We start from the raw sequence: 15,803 nt of genomic DNA on the forward strand, positions 1-15,803 counted from the left end.
CCCAAGTAGAAGGCAGCACTCATCACGGGAAGTCAATTCTTGATAAGAAGACGAAGTGGAGCAAGGTTCAGGAAACGCTTTGCCCTCTTTGTCTTTTTTGCCCATACTCCTTTTTCTGTTCATCGCTAGGAAATAACAACAGCAAAAATGCAGCCATCCTTCCATCAGCCGTGTTCTGTCCTTTGAGTGCTCCGTCTCTGTTTGCAATAGACAACTTGAGTTTTGAGTGGATGTGTGATTTGGTAGACAGATTGAGTGAGGCACTGGGTTTTGATCCTGGCTTAAAATAGCAACATTGTTCTTAAAATTATATCAACAGTGAAAATTGTTACAGCTGGTGCTTTAAAATATCAGAATTTTGCAGCTATATTATTTACTTTTGAATATTCAAAGGATAATCAGACATGTTATTACTGCCTCTAAAATTATTCTTTATTATGTCCTTATATACTTCTGTAAGTACCTCAAAACCCTATTTTTTCCTTTTGTCCATTAGGCATTATTTGAATCTCACTCCTTTCATTTCACTTTGGTCTTCAGAATTGAATTTTGATATTCTTCTAGTCTTCCTCACCTCCTGTATAATTTCATGTAATTGTCATTTCTTTCCCTCTCTCCCATTTATTTAAACCAGCTGTTTCCTATCTGACTTGTATTATTAGAGATTAATTTGTTTTTTTCTAGTCTATTCTCTGCTACTTTTAATTGCCTTCTTTATTATATTTTAATGGTTTTGCTTTTCTAATGTGCATATTGAATATTGATCAATATTTACCTCTCAAGACTTTCAAAGAATAGGAATTATAACTTCATTGAAAGAATAGGAATTATAACTTCATTGAAAGTTATTTCATTAAACATTTCTAATAACATAAAATATTTTTCAATGCACCTTTCTTTTCAGGGTGATGTTGCAAATGAAGTGGAGACTGAACAAATACTCTGCGATGCTTCTGTGATGTCTTTCACTGCAGGAAGTTATTCTTCATATGTACAAGTTAGAGGATCTGTGCCCTTATACTGGTCTCAGGACATTTCAACTATGATGCCTAAACCACCTATTACATGTGTGTGGAGCCATGTTTTTAATAATAACTCCTGTCCTCACATTTAGAGATAATGAACTGTTGTCACAGAAATCTCATAAATGCTTAGGTTTTCAGGAGGTTTTAGTCCTGGAAGGTAGATAATTTAGAAGAGGAATTTCCGTTATTCTTATGTAATAAATTTATGTTTAATTTTGACTGTTAAATAAATTATTTTTATTTTGCTTCAGAAATGTAAGAATCATTCAAATGTAATAAATACATGATGAATAAGTGTCTAGTGAGCATCTTAAGAAGGATTTGGGAAGTGAAACTATTGAAAGATTAGTTGAATTGCATTTCTTTAAAAAAACAACCCTATGCTTCTTTTATTTTGCTTTGCAATTTTCATTCAGGTGCTTTTTCATCTTTTTTCCTTCTCAGTGGATCAGGCAGATCCATTTGCACATGTGGCTGCCCTTCACTTTGACCAGATGTTCCAGAGGTTTGGCTCTCCCATCATCATCTTGAATTTAGTGAAGGTATGATGTGCTCATCTGTTTGGTTATGAGATTCAGACGCTCTGGGAAGCCTCTTCCTCAACACAGAGGGGGTTAACAAGCCATGCTTTCCCTCTTCCTAGTGGAGAGACGTGCAGATTATTATGCTGGGACAGCTCACTGTGTCTGAGCTGAGTCACTTTCCTTTGGCCTCAGATTCCATGTGGCTTCTCTGCATGGCTGAAAAAAATGAGTAGTATATATCTAAGGGAGTAGAGTGATTCAGTATATCAGGAAATCATTGTGTCCTGATTTCCTTGTGTGAATTAGATATAGGTCAAATTTCTGCCTTAGTTTCCAGGACAACTTGGAGAAAGAAGCATGAAATCAAACTGTCACAGCCTCACCTTTACAGTCATCTCCCTTGAAAATCCATAAGCTCCCCTGGGCAAATTAATTTATAGTAATAGGATCAAAGGCTAGATTCATAAACTGGGGTACTGTTGTGACTGAAGGATCAGGTGGGCATGTGAGAAGCCCAGACAAGGTGGTATTAGCCTCATAGTTCCCTGCTTTCTTGGCAGAGTACACTGACTGGTCAGCATATCTATCTATATGAATGGGCATACAGGTCAAAGGCTGAGGATAGGAGGCAGGGAACCACAGAATAAGTTTTATCTGCATCTGTTGCAGCCAAGTGAATTGAAAGACTCTCAGTCAGAAGCCAAGAATACCCTGAGAGTATGAAAAGCAAGGGTGTTGTTATGTTATGTGCTCTTGGTGGTGTCCAACAATCTAGTAGTGTCTGAGGTTATTCTGAGAGGTTGGTTAATAAATGTAGATGAGTTTACTGAAAAACCAAGGAAGCCTGTGACCCTGTGTGTCCATTTAGTCAGTCATTTATTTTTATTTACTTATTTCTTATTATACTTTAAGTTCTCGGATACATGTGCAGAACGTGCAGGTTTGTTACATAAGTATACAAGTGCTGTGATGGTTTGCTGCACCCATCAACCCGTCATCTACATTAGGTATTTCTCCTAATGCTATCCTTCCCCTATCCCCCCACCCCCCAACAGGCCCCAGTGTGTGATGTTCCCGTCCTTGTGTCCATGTGTTCTCATTGTTCAGTTCCCACTTACGAGTGAGAACATGGCAGTTTTTGATTTCCTGTTCCTGTGTTAGTTTACTGAGAATGATGGTTTCCAGCTTCATCCATGTCCCTGCAAAGGACATGAACTCATCCTTTTTTACGGCTGCATAGTATTCCATGGTGTATATGTGTCACATTTTCTTTATCCAGTCTATCATTGATGGGCATTTGGGTTGGTTCCAAGTCTTTGCTATTGTGAATAGTGCTGCAATAAACATATATGTGCATGTGTCTTTATAGTAGAATGATTCATAATCCTTTGGGTATATACCCAGTAATGGGATTGCTGGGTCAAATGGTATTTCTAGTTCTAGATCCTTGAGGAATCGTCACACTGTCTTCCACAATGGTTGAACTAATTTACACTCCCACCAACAGTGTAAAAGCGTTCCTATTTTTCCACGTCATCTCCAGCACCTGTTGTTTCCTGACTTTTAAATGATCGCCGTTCTAACTGGCATGAGATGGTATCTCATTGTGGTTTTGATTTGCATTTTTCTAATGACCAGTGATGATGAGCCTTTTTTCAAATGTTTGTTGGCCACATATAAATGTCTTCTTTTGAGAAGTGTCTGTTCATATCCTTCGCCTACTTTTTGATGGGGTTGTTTTTTTCTTGTAAATTTGTTTAAGTTCCTTGTAGATTCTGGATAGTAGCCCTTTGTGAGATGGAGAGATGCAACAATTTTCTCCCATTCTATAGGTTGCCTGTTTACTCTGATGATAGTTTCTTTTACTGTGCAGAAACTCTTTAGTTTAATTAGATCCCATTTGTCAATTTTGGCTTTTGTTGCCATTGCTTTTGGTGTTTTAGTCATGAAGTCTTTGACCATGCCTATGTCCTGAATGGTATTTCCTAGGTTTTCTTCTAGGGTTTTTATGGTTTTGGGTCTTACGTTTAAGTCTTTAATTCATCTCGAGTTAATTTTTGTATAAGGTGTAAGGAAGTAATTTATAGATTCAGTGCCATCCTCATCAAGCTATCATTGACTTTCTTCACAGAATTAGAAAAAGCTACTTTAAATTTCATGTGGAAGCAAAAAAGAGCCCATGTAGCCAAGACAATCCTAAGCAAAAAGAACAAAACTGGAGGCATCACGCTACCTGACTTCAAACTATACTACAAGGCTACAGTAAAGCATGGTACTGGTACCAAAATAGATATATAGACCAATGGAACAGAACAGAGGCCTCAGCAATAACACCACACATCTACAACCATCTGATCTTTGACAAACCTGACAAAAACAAGCAATGGGGAAAGGATTCCCTATTTAATAAATGGTTTTGGGAAAACCGGCTAGCCATATGCAGAAAACTGAAACTGGGTCCCTTCCTTACACCTTATAGTCAGTCATTTAACAAGTATTTTTGAGAGTTTCCTATGTGCAAAGGCAGTTCTAGAAACAGCTCCTGCCTTGAGCTAACAGCCTGTTGTAGGAGATGGTGAGGTAATGCAGAGGCAACAATATAAGGTAAATGGTGCAACAAGAGTTTATAATGGAGAGAAGTCTTCCCTGAGGACGGGATGAGTTAGCATCAGCCTGAAGGAAGAGGCATTAACCAGGTCACTGGGAAAGAATGGTATTCAACTCAGAGCGCAGCATGTACAAAGGCCCTAGGACAGGAGGAAGTGTGGTGGGTTGGAGGAAGAAAAGGGGGTTCCCTGTGGCTGGGGCCCAGAGGGTGAGGACAAGATGCTTGTTTTGAGATGAGGCTAAAGAGATGGTTATGGCCAGACCATGCAGAGTATTGTAGGCTGCATTAATGAGCCTGGCCTTCTTCCTGAGAGTAATGGAAAGTCATTAAACATCTTGCATGGTTGAGAGGATCATTGTCAGATTTATGTTTTGAAAAGATTACTGTGACCTCAACATAGAAAACAAATGGATCGGTACAAGGCTAATGTCAATGCTGGAAGACCAGATAGGAGGCTGTTATAATTGTCCAGAAAAGAGGTGATTATGCCTTAAACCAGGGTGGTATGGTGGAGATGTAGAGAAGTGGACAGTCAGTAGAGTTGGTGATGGGCTGGATTTGAAATGAGGGAGTAGGGGGTGTCAGGCTCAATTCTCAGGTTTCTGGCTTACTCAGGTGGGTGAATGGTGATGCCATTCACTGAAATACAGAACCCTGACTGGGTTTGTTGGGGGAAGATCATGAGTGTAGTTTGGACATGCTGAGTGAGGTTTGAGGTATGCTTGCGTCCTCTACACTTGTTCTTAGCCAAAAGGCCGAGAAGCGATGCTTGAGTCCTCTAAACGGAGGTAACAGGTCAGGGCATGGTTCTGGAGCTCAGAGGAGAGGTCTAGGCCCAGATGTGATTTTTGTAACTCTGTGTACAGATGACATTTGAAGGCATGGGCATGGATGAGATGCCCATGTGGAGAGTATAAAGTGAGAAGGAAAAACCTCAGAGCTTGTCTTGGGGATCTCCTGCTCTTAATGCCCATTTAGAGTGGCTGAATCTCCAAAGGAGTCAGAGAAAAAAACATCCAGAGGAGTAGGAAGAAAACCAGGAAGTGCTGTGTCAGGAATGCCAGGAGAAAGCGTGTTTCACAATGAAGGAAGTAAATGATCAACAGCATCAAATGCTGAGGGGTCAAGTAAGATGAGGATGGAAAGATTGTCCATTAGTGTTAGCATCATGGAGGGCACTGATTGAAGTAGACCGAGTGTGGGATAACAGTGAGTAAGTGATGTACTTTTCCCCCAATAGGAGTACCCAGTGAAAGATGGCATTTTTATTTTTTGAAAGAGATCATATCGATATGTTTAAAAGCCTATGGGGAGGATACATGTGAAAGGGATAGTTGTATGACACAGGAGAGAAAAGGAATGATCAGTGATTTCATGTACTTAAGAAAGTAGGAAATGATGAAATCTGAAGCATACATAGTAGAATTATTATTTTATTTTTGAGGCATGGTCGTGCTCTATCACTTAGGCTGGAGTGCAGTGGCAAGATCATAGCTCGCTGCAACCTTGAACTCCTGGCCTTAAGTAATCCTCCCACCTCAGTCTCCCAAAGTGCTGGGATTACAGTCATGAACCATGGCGCCTGGCTGGAATTATTTTAATGGAGAGACAGAAAATAGTAAGGGTTCGGGCATGTGTGTATTTGTGAGCATGCACATTCCATTCTGATGGCTTTAATTTCTCCTTAAGGTAGGAGGAATGGTCATCTGCTGAGAGTGGAGGTTTGAAGGGAGTGGAGAAGGTTTAAGTCTTTTGTACGTGGGAGGGTAAGTTGACTAGAAACCTGCAGGAAGTACCAAGAGCCAATTTCAAGTTGGTGATCATGATTTCTTAAATGGAACCATTTTGCTCTTGCCTGCCTTCTTCCAGCAGGCTTGTGAATGAGTATAAGCACAGGTAAAATAGTAATTGGGTTTATTTAGTTTTGCCACACAGGTGTGACATGAAAAGACAGGATGAAAGGCATTTTGGATTTTGGCAATACTGTGATCGAAGTGGTCCATGAAATCTCAGCCAAGTAAGGACAGGGCTTAAAGAACAGGGCTGCTGGAGAAAGTGGAGATGTCAGTGGATTGCAGTCCTCACGAGGTGGGGTATTTAAAGCAAGCAGTGTGGAAATAAAAGAGGTCACGAATAAGAAATGTTGAAGAAAGAGCAGCCTGTGATAATGAATTGGTGTAAGATGTGATAGTGGGAATGGGGATTTAGAATGGAAAAGGAGGTGGAGATACTGAAAGTCAGCCAGTGTATTAGTCTGTTTGCACACTGCTGATAAAAACATACCTGAGCCTGGGTAATTTATAAAGAAAAAGAGGTTTAATGGACTCACAGTTCCACGTGGCTGGGGAAGCCTCACAATCATATCGGAAAGCAAAAGACACGTGTTACATGGCGGCAGACAAGAGAGAATGAGAACCAAGCGAAAAGAGAAACCCCTTATAAAATCATCACCTCTCGTGAGACTTATTCATTACCACAAGAACGGTATGGGGGAGACCACCCCCATGATTCAATTATCTCCCACCAGATCCCTCCACAACACGTGGGAATTATGGGCGCTACAATTCAAGATGAGATTTGAGTGGGGACACAGCCAAACCATATCACCCAGGATGGAGGCAAAGCTTGGGGTGGGGAAGAGACAGTTCCTAGGAGAGGACTGTATAACTACATGCATGGGCTCAAAGGAGCTCTGTGTGTGTGTGTGTGTGTGTGTGTGTGTGTGTGTGTGTGTGTGTGTGTTTTAAATCAAGAATATGGAGGAATATGTCCCCAAACTGGCAGTTGGGGGAGAAGAGTGAAACAGTGAGGCAGTCAGCTTTATTTCTTCCTGTGTTGCTCTTTGTAATTGTATCCCACTAGGGATTGACTTTGTAAAATAAATCATTCAGATATTAAATAATCATTTTTCTAGACATTTGTTCATATTAATTCAGAAGTTTCATGTTCACATCTCTCTCCATATCAACTCAGAATAATGTAAGGTGGATAATCTCTAACCTCAGCCTAGTATTAAACAGTAGCTGTAGTATACATAATTGCAAATTTAAAATATGAAAACTTTAGTGAAAATGCTCATGGACAGTTTTCCAGTAAATGTATAGAAAATAAGATATTGTTAGTATGGAAATAAATTATTGCCAAAGTGTTAAATTATAAAGTGTTACTGGATTAGAAACCTAGATTTGAATTAGTGGATTTAGACAGAGCACGACCCTGCCTCAATAATAAAATAAAATAAAATAAAATAAAATAAAAAGTAAGTTCATGTTTTACAGAGTTCGTATAGTGTGGTTGAAAAGCTGTCATTAAATGGAGATTCATGTCTACAATGCTTGAAATAATTCTCTTAATTGTGCACACTCAAAAAATACTATCATACATGTGATCATAATGTATTCTTTGCCAGGTATCTCACATGTACATTTATTTTTTTGAATATTTAAAGGTCAGTCAGTGGATTTTAAAGTTGTACTTGTTTATTGTTCTATTGCAATAAAAATCCTGACAATGACTAGAAGTTAGCTACAGAAATAGTTTGGAGATTAAGTTGCTGTTTCATGGAATAGGAAAATATTTTGTTGTTTATAGCACTAGTTTTATTCATAGGATTAAAGAAGATGTTTATTCAGGCCACTTGGTAGAAGACCTTATTAATTGTGATTAAAGAGCCAAAGAATACATGTGTGTATAGAATGATACCTAGGGGATACTCACTCTTTATTCTACCACCATATGAAGAAGTTAATAAAGCGAAATGCTTTTCATGATTTCATTTCTCTTTTACCCTGTGTTGCGAACTTCTTCCCAGTTGTGAAAGTTTGAGGCACTGGTTGAAAGACAGTTTGCAGCAATCCATGTGCCTTCAATGCTGCTACTGTATCAACAGAAGGCCAACCTAGGATCAAGTATAACTGTACATCAGAAGTTTTTAATCTGTGGGCCATGCATGGCTGTTAGGGGGATCTTGGAACCCTTTGAAATGATATGCAGCTGGATGTGGTGGCTCATGCCTATAATCCCAGTGACCTGGGAAACAGGCGGGAGGCTTGCATGAGGCCAGGAGTCTGAGAGCAGACTGGGCAGCATAGGAGACACAGTCTCTACAAAATTTTTTTTTTTCAATTAGTTGAGCATGATGCACACCTGTAGTCCCAGCTACTTGGAGGCTGAAGTTGGAGGATCACTTGAGTCCAGGAGTTCCAGGATGCAGTGAGCTATGATTGCACCATTGCGTTCCAGCCTGGGCGACAGAGTGAGACCCTGTCTCTTTATAAAAAAAGAAAAAAGAAATGTTATGCAAAATCACTTGTGTAGTAGTTTTCCTTTACTTGTTAGGGGTCTGTGGCTCTAAAGAGGTTGACTAACAACCCACTAACACTATTACACTATGGACAGACAATGCATACAGCAGATTCTTCACACAGAGATGATACGAAGGTTGCTCAAACAACATTTCCTCTCCATCCCACGAAATGTCAGATTTGATATAAGCATTTCAAAAAGATTTTGTTTCCCTAGTTGATTTTAAATGCTTTTGAGAAAAATTTCAGATATATAATTTAATTTTCTCCGATATATAAATAAGCAAAATTTATTTTCATCCTAAACTGATTTAACACTGTTCTTAATTCTTATCTAATTATTTCATTTGATGTATTCAGCTGTGCTCAATAGCTACCCCTTTTTGTTTCTACAGTAGTTATCTCATTAAATTCATGACAATTGAAAAGTAATCTCCATGATTGAAAACAGCACAATCTAATTTTGATGCCAACAATAGTGCCTTAACACCATTTCAGTCTCACTATTGTGAAATTAATTGTTTTTCTTTGTTTCTAAGTGAAGGCTTGATCAGGGTGATAATGAAAATGGCAAATTTTTATAAGTTACTTCCCATATGCCAGCTGTTCTATAAAAACTCACCATGCTCTGCTGCTGGATTCGGTTTGCCAGTATTTTATTGAGGATTTTCGCCTCGATGTTCATCAGGGATATTGGCCTGAAATTTTCTTTTTTTGTTGTGTCTCTGCCAGGTTTTGGTATCAAGATGATGCTGGCCTCATAAAATGAGTTAGGGAGGAGTCCCTCTTTTTCTGTTGTTTGGAATAGTTTCAGAAGGAATGGTACCAGCTCCTCTTTGTACCTCTGGTAGAATTTGGCTGTGAATCTATCTGGTACTGGGCTTTTTTTGGTTTGTAGCCTATTAACTATTGCCTCAGTTTCATAACTTGTTATTGGTTTATTCAGGGATTTGACCTCTTCCTGGTTTAGTCTTGGGAGGGTGTATGTGTGCAGGAATTTATCTATTTCTTCTAGATTTTCTAGTTTATTTGCATAGAGGTGTTTATAGTAATCTCTGGTGGTATTTTGTATTTCTGTGGGATCAGTGATGATCTACCCTTTAACATTTTTTATTGTGTCTATTTGATTCTTCTCTCTTTTTTTCTTTTTTTTTTAAGTATTTTTTTTCTTTTTTTTTATTATTATTATACTTTAAGTTTTAGGGTACGTGTGCACAATGTGCCGATTAGTTACATATGTATACATGTGCCATGCTGGTGTGCTGCACCCATTAACTCGTCGTTTAGCATTAGGTATATCTCCTAATGCTATCCCTCCCCCCTCCCCCCACCCCACAACAGTCCCCAGAGTGTGATGTTCCCCTTCCTGTGTCCATGTGTTCTCATTGTTCAGTTCCCACCTATGAGTGAGAACATGCGGTGTTTGGTTTTTTGTTCTTGCGATAGTTTACTGAGAATGATGATTTCCAATTTCATCCATGCCCCTACAAAGGACATGAATTCATCATTTTTTATGGCTGCATAGTATTCCATGGTGTATATGTGCCACATTTTCTTAATCCAGTCTATCACTGTTGGACATTTGGGTTGGTTCCAAGTCTTTGCTATTGTGAATAGTGCCACAATAAACATACGTGTGCATGTGTCTTTATAGCAGCATGATTTGTAGTCCTTTGGGTATATACCCAGTAATGGGATGGCTGGGTCAAATGGTATTTCTAGTTCTAGATCCCTGAGGAATCGCCACAGTGACTTCCACAATGGTTGAACTAGTTTACAGTCCCACCAACAGTGTAAAAGTGTTCCTATTTCTCCACATCCTCTCCAGTACCTGTTGTTTCCTGACATTTTAATGATCGCCATTCTAACTGGTGTGAGATGGTATCTCATTGTGGTTTTGATTTGCGTTTCTCTGATGACCAGTGATGATGAGCATTTTTTCATGTGTCTGTTGGCTGCATAAATGTCTTCTTTTGAGAAGTGTCTGTTCATATCCTTTTCCCACTTTTTGATGGGGCTGTTTGTTTTTTTCTTGTAAATTTGTTTGAGTTCATTGTAGATTCTAGATATTAGCCCTTAGTCAGATGAGTAGGTTGCGGAGAATTTCTCCCATTTTGTAGGTTGCCTGTTCACTCTGATGGTAGTTTCTTTTGCTGTGCAGAAGCTCTTTAGTTTAATTAGATCCCATTTGTCAATTTTGGCTTTTGTTGCCATTGCTTTTGGTGTTCTAGACATGAAGTCCTTGCCCATGCCTATGTCCTGAATGGTAATGCCTAGGTTTTCTTCTAGGGTTTTTATGGTTTTAGGTCTAATGTTTAGTCTTTAATCCATCTTGAATTAATTTTTGTATAAGGTGTAAGGAAGGGATCCATTTTCAGCTTTCTACATATGGCTAGCCAGTTTTCCCAGCACCATTTATTAAATAGGGAATCCTTTCCCCATTGCTTGTTTTTGTCAGATTTGTCAAAGATCAGATAGTTGTAGATATGCGGTGTTATTTCTCCCATCCAAGTACTAACCAGGCCCGACCCTGCTTAGCTTCCGAGATCAGACGAGATCGGGCGTGTTCAGGGTGGTATGGCCGTAGACGATGCGGTGTTATTTCTGAGGGCTCTGTTCTGTTCCATTGATCTATATCTCTGTTTTGGTACCAGTACCATGCTGTTTTGGTTACTGTAGCCTTGTAGTATAGTTTGAAGTCAGGTAGCGTGATGCCTCCAGCTTTGTTCTTTTGGCTTAGGATTGACTTGGTGATGCGGGCTCTTTTTTGGTTCCATATGAACTTTAAAGTAGTTTTTTCCAATTCTGTGAAGAAAGTCATTGGTAGCTTGATGGGGATGGCATTGAATCTATAAATTACCTTGGGCAATAGGGCCATTTTCACAATATTGATTGTTCCTACCCGTGAGCATGGAATGTTCTTCCATTTGTTTGTATCCTCTTTAATTCCGTTAAGCAGTGGTTTGTAGTCCTCCTTGAAGAGGTCCTTCACATCCCTTGTAAGTTGGATTCCTAGGTATTTTATTCTCTTTGAAGCAATTGTGAATGGGAGTTCACTCATGATTTGGCTCTCTGTCTGTTATTGGTGTATAAGAATGCTTGTGATTTTTGTACATTGATTTTGTATCCTGAGACTTTGCTGAAGTTGCTTATCAGCTTAAGGAGATTTTGAGCTGAGACAATAGGGTTTTCTAGATATACAATCATGTCATCTGCAAACAGGGACAATTTGACTTCCTCTTTTCCGAATTGAATACCCTTTATTTCCTTCTCCTGCCTGATTGCCCTAGCCAGAACTTCCAACACTATGTTGAATAGGAGTGGTGAGAGAGGGCATCCCTGTCTTGTGCCAGTTTTCAAAGGGAATGCTTCCAGTTTTTGCCCATTCAGTATGATATTGGCTGTGGGTTTGACACAGATAGCTCTTATTATTTTGAGATATGTCCCATCAATACCTAATTTATTGAGAGTTTTTAGCATGAAGCGTTGTTGAATTTTCTCAAAGGCCTTTTCTGCATCTATTGAGATAATCATGTGGTTTTTGTCTTTGGTTCTGTTTATATGCTGGATTACATTTATTGATTTGTGTATATTGAACCAGCCTTGCATCCCAGGGATGAAGCCCACTTGATCATGGTGGATAAGCTTTTTGATGTGTTGCTGGATTCAGTTTGCCAGTATTTTATTGAGGATTTTTGCATCAGTGTTCATCAAGGATATTGGGCTAAAATTCTCTTTTTTGGTTGTGTCTCTGCCCAGCTTTGGTATCAGGATGATGCTGGCCTCATAAAATGAGTTAGGGAGGATTACCTCTTTTTCTATTGATTGGAATAGTTTCAGAAGGAATGGTACCAGTTCCTCCTTGTACCTCTGGTAGAATTTTGCTGTGAATCCATCTGGTCCTGGACTCTTTTTAGTTGGTAAGCTATTGATTATTGCCACAATTTCAGATCCTGTTATTGGTCTATTCAGAGATTCAACTTCTTCCTGGTTTAGTCTTGGGAGGGTGTATGTGTCGAGGAATTTATCCATTTCTTCTAGATTTTCTAGTTTATTTGCGTAGAGGTGTTTGTAGTATTCTCTGATGGTAGTTTGTATTTCTGTGGGATCGGTGGTGATATCTCCTTTATCGTTTTTTATTGCATCTATTTGATTCTTCTTTTTTCTTTATTAGTCTTGCTAGCAGTCTATCAATTTTGTTGATCCTTTCAAAAAACCAGCTCCTGGATTCATTAATTTTTTGAAGGATTTTTTTTTGTCTCTATTTCCTTCAGTTCTGCTCTGATTTTAGTTATTTCTTGCCTTCTTCTAGCTTTTGAATGTGTTTGCTCTTGCTTTTCTAGTTCTTTTAATTGTGATGTTAGGGTGTCAATTTTGGATCTTTCCTTCTTTCTCTTGTGGGCATTTAGTGCTATAAATTTCACTCTGCACACTGCTTTGAATGTGTCCCAGAGATTCTGGTATGTTGTGTCTTTGTTCTCGTTGGTTTCAAAGAACATCTTTATTTCTGCCTTCATTTCGTTATGTACCCAGTAGTCATTCAGGAGCTGGTTGTTCAGTTTCCATGTAGTTGAGCGGTTTTGAGTGAGTTTCTTAATCCTGAATTCTAGTTTGATTGCACTGTGGTCTGAGAGACAGCTTGTTATAATTTCTGTTCTTTTACATTTGCTGAGGAGAACTTTGCTTCCACCTATGTGGTCAATTTTGGAATAGGTGTGGTGTGGTGCTGAAAAAAATGTATATTCTGTTGATTTGGGGTGGAGAGTTCTGTAGATGTCTTTTAGGTCCGCTTGGTGCAGAGCTGAGTTCAATTCCTGGGTATCCTTGTTAACTTTCTGTGACGTTGATCTGTCTAATGTTGACAGTGGGGTGTTGAAGTTTCCCATTATTATTGTGTGGGAGTCAAAGTCTCTTTGTAGGTCACTCAGGACTTGCTTAATGAATCTTGGTGCTCCTGTATTGGGTGCATATATATTTAGGATAGTTAGCTCTTCTTGTTGAATTGATCCCTTACCATTATGTAATGGCCTCCTTTGTCTCTTTTGATCTTTGTTGGTTTCAAATCTGTTTTATCAGAGACTAGGATTGCAACCCCTGCCTTTTTTTGTTTTCCATTTGCTTGGTAGATCTTCCTCCATCCTTTTATTTTGAGCCTATGTGTGTCTCTGCACATGAGATGGGTCTCCTGAATACAGCACACTGATGGGTCTTTACTCTTTATCCAATTTGCCAGTCTGTGTCTTTTAATTGGAGCATTTAGTCCATTTACATTTAACGTTAATATTGTTATGTGTGAATTTGATCCTGTCATTATGATGTTAGTTGGTTATTTTGCTCGTTAGTTGATGCAGTTTCTTCCTAGTCTCAATGGTCTTTACATTTTGACATGATTTTGCAGCGGCTGGTGCCGGTTGTTCCTTTCCATGTTTAGTGCTTCCTTCAGGAGCTCTTTTAGGGCAGGCCTGGTGGTGACAAAATCTCTCAGCATTTGCTTGTCTGTAAAGTATTTTATTTCTCCTTTACTTATGAAGCTTAGTTTGGCTGGATATGAAATTCTGGGTTGAAAATTCTTTTCTTTAAGAATGTTGAATATTGGCCCCCACTCTCTTCTGGCTTGTAGAGTTTCTGCCAAGAGATCCACTGTTAGTCTGTTGGGCTTCCCTTTGTGGGTAACCTGACCTTTCTCTCTGGCTGCCCTTAACATTTTTTCCTTCATTTCAACTTTGGTGAATCTGACAATTATGTGTCTTGGAGTTGCTCTTCTCGAGGAGTATCTTTGTGGTGTTCTCTGTATTTCCTGAATCTGAATGTTGGCCTGCCTTGCTAGATTGGGGAAGTTCTCCTGGATAATATCCTGCAGAGTGTTTTCCAACTTGGTTCCATTCTCCCCGTCACTTTCAGGTACACCAATCAGAGCAGATTTGGTCTTTTCACATAGTCCCATATTTCTTGGAGTCTTTGTTCGTTTCTTTTTATTCTTTTTTCTCTAAACTTCCCTTCTCGCTTCATTTCATTCATTTCATCTTCCATCACTGATACCCTTTCTTCCAGTTGATCACATCGTCTCCTGAGGCTTCTGCATTCTTGACGTAGTTCTCAAGACTTGGCTTTCAGCTCCATCAGCTCCTTTAAGCACTTCTCTGTATTGGTTATTCTAGTTATACATTCGTTTAAATTTTTTTCAAAGTTTTCAACTTCTTTGTGTTTGGTTTGAATTTCCTCCTATAGCTTGGAGTAATTTGATCGTCTGAAGCTTTCCTTTCTCAACTCGTCAAAGTCATTCTCCGTCCAGCTTTGTTCCATTGCTGGTGAGGAACTGCATTCCTCAGATGGAAATGCAGAAATCACCCGTCTTCTGCGTCGCTCACGCTGGGAGCTGTAGACCGGAGCTGTTCCTATTCGGCCATCTTGGCTCCTCCCCCTCTCTTTTTTTCTTTATTAGTCTGGCTAACAGTCTATTTTGTTAGTCTTTTCAAACAAACAGCTCCTGGATTCATTGATTTTTTGAAGAGTTTTTCATGTCTGTATCTCCTTCAGTTCTGCTCTGATCTTAGTTATTTCTTGTTTTCTGCTAGCTTTTGAATTTATTTGCTCTTCCACTATGATCAAGTCAGCTTCATCCTTGGGATGCAAGGCTGGTTCAACATATGCGAATCAATAAACGTAATCCATCACATAACCAGAACCAATGACAAAAACTACATGATTATCTCAGCAGATGCAGAAAAGGCCTGCAATAAAATTGAACACCCATTCATGCTAAAAACTCTCAACTAGGTATTGATGGAACATATCTCAAAATAATAAGAGCTATTTGTAACAAACCCACAGCCAATATCATACTGAATGGGCAAAAGCTGGAAGCATTCCCTTTGAAAATCAACACAAGACAAGGATGCCCTCTCTCACCACTCCTCTTCAACATGGTATGGGAAGTTCTGGCCAGAACAATCAGGCAAGAGAAAGAAATAAGGGGTATTCAGATAGGAAGAGAGGAAGTCAAATTATCTCTGTTTGCAGAGGACATGATTGTATATTTAGAAAACCCCATCATCTCAGCCCAAAAACTCCTTAAGCTGATAAGCAACTTCAGCAAAGTCTCAGGATACAAAATCAATGTGCAAAAATCACAAGCATTCCTATACACCAATAATAGACAGAGAGTCAAATCATGAATGAACTCCCATTCAGAATTGCTACAAAGAGAATAAAATAACTTAAAAATACAACTTAAAAGGGATATGAAGGACCTCTTCAAGGAGAACTACAAACCACTGCCCAGTGAAATAAGAGAGGGCACAAACAGATGGAAAAACATTCCATGCTCATTGATAGGAAGAAT

At 39.1% G+C, this 15,803-nt stretch overlaps 1 protein-coding gene across 2 annotated transcripts in view; it reads left to right on the forward strand.

The window, feature by feature from the left end:
- The window catches only part of FIG4 (FIG4 phosphoinositide 5-phosphatase), a 134,131-nt gene that overhangs the window by 50,910 nt on the left and 67,418 nt on the right, over positions 1-15,803 (forward strand). For both annotated transcript variants that reach the window (NM_014845.6, XM_011536281.4), the window contains exons 9-10: positions 905-1,067; positions 1,470-1,567. In NM_014845.6, the coding sequence (NP_055660.1) occupies positions 905-1,067; positions 1,470-1,567 (261 nt within the window). The remainder of the gene's footprint in view (positions 1-904; positions 1,068-1,469; positions 1,568-15,803) is intronic.

The sequence above is a fragment of the Homo sapiens genome, chromosome 6 (genome assembly GCF_000001405.40).
Source record: "Homo sapiens chromosome 6, GRCh38.p14 Primary Assembly".
Lineage (NCBI taxonomy): Eukaryota > Metazoa > Chordata > Mammalia > Primates > Hominidae > Homo > Homo sapiens.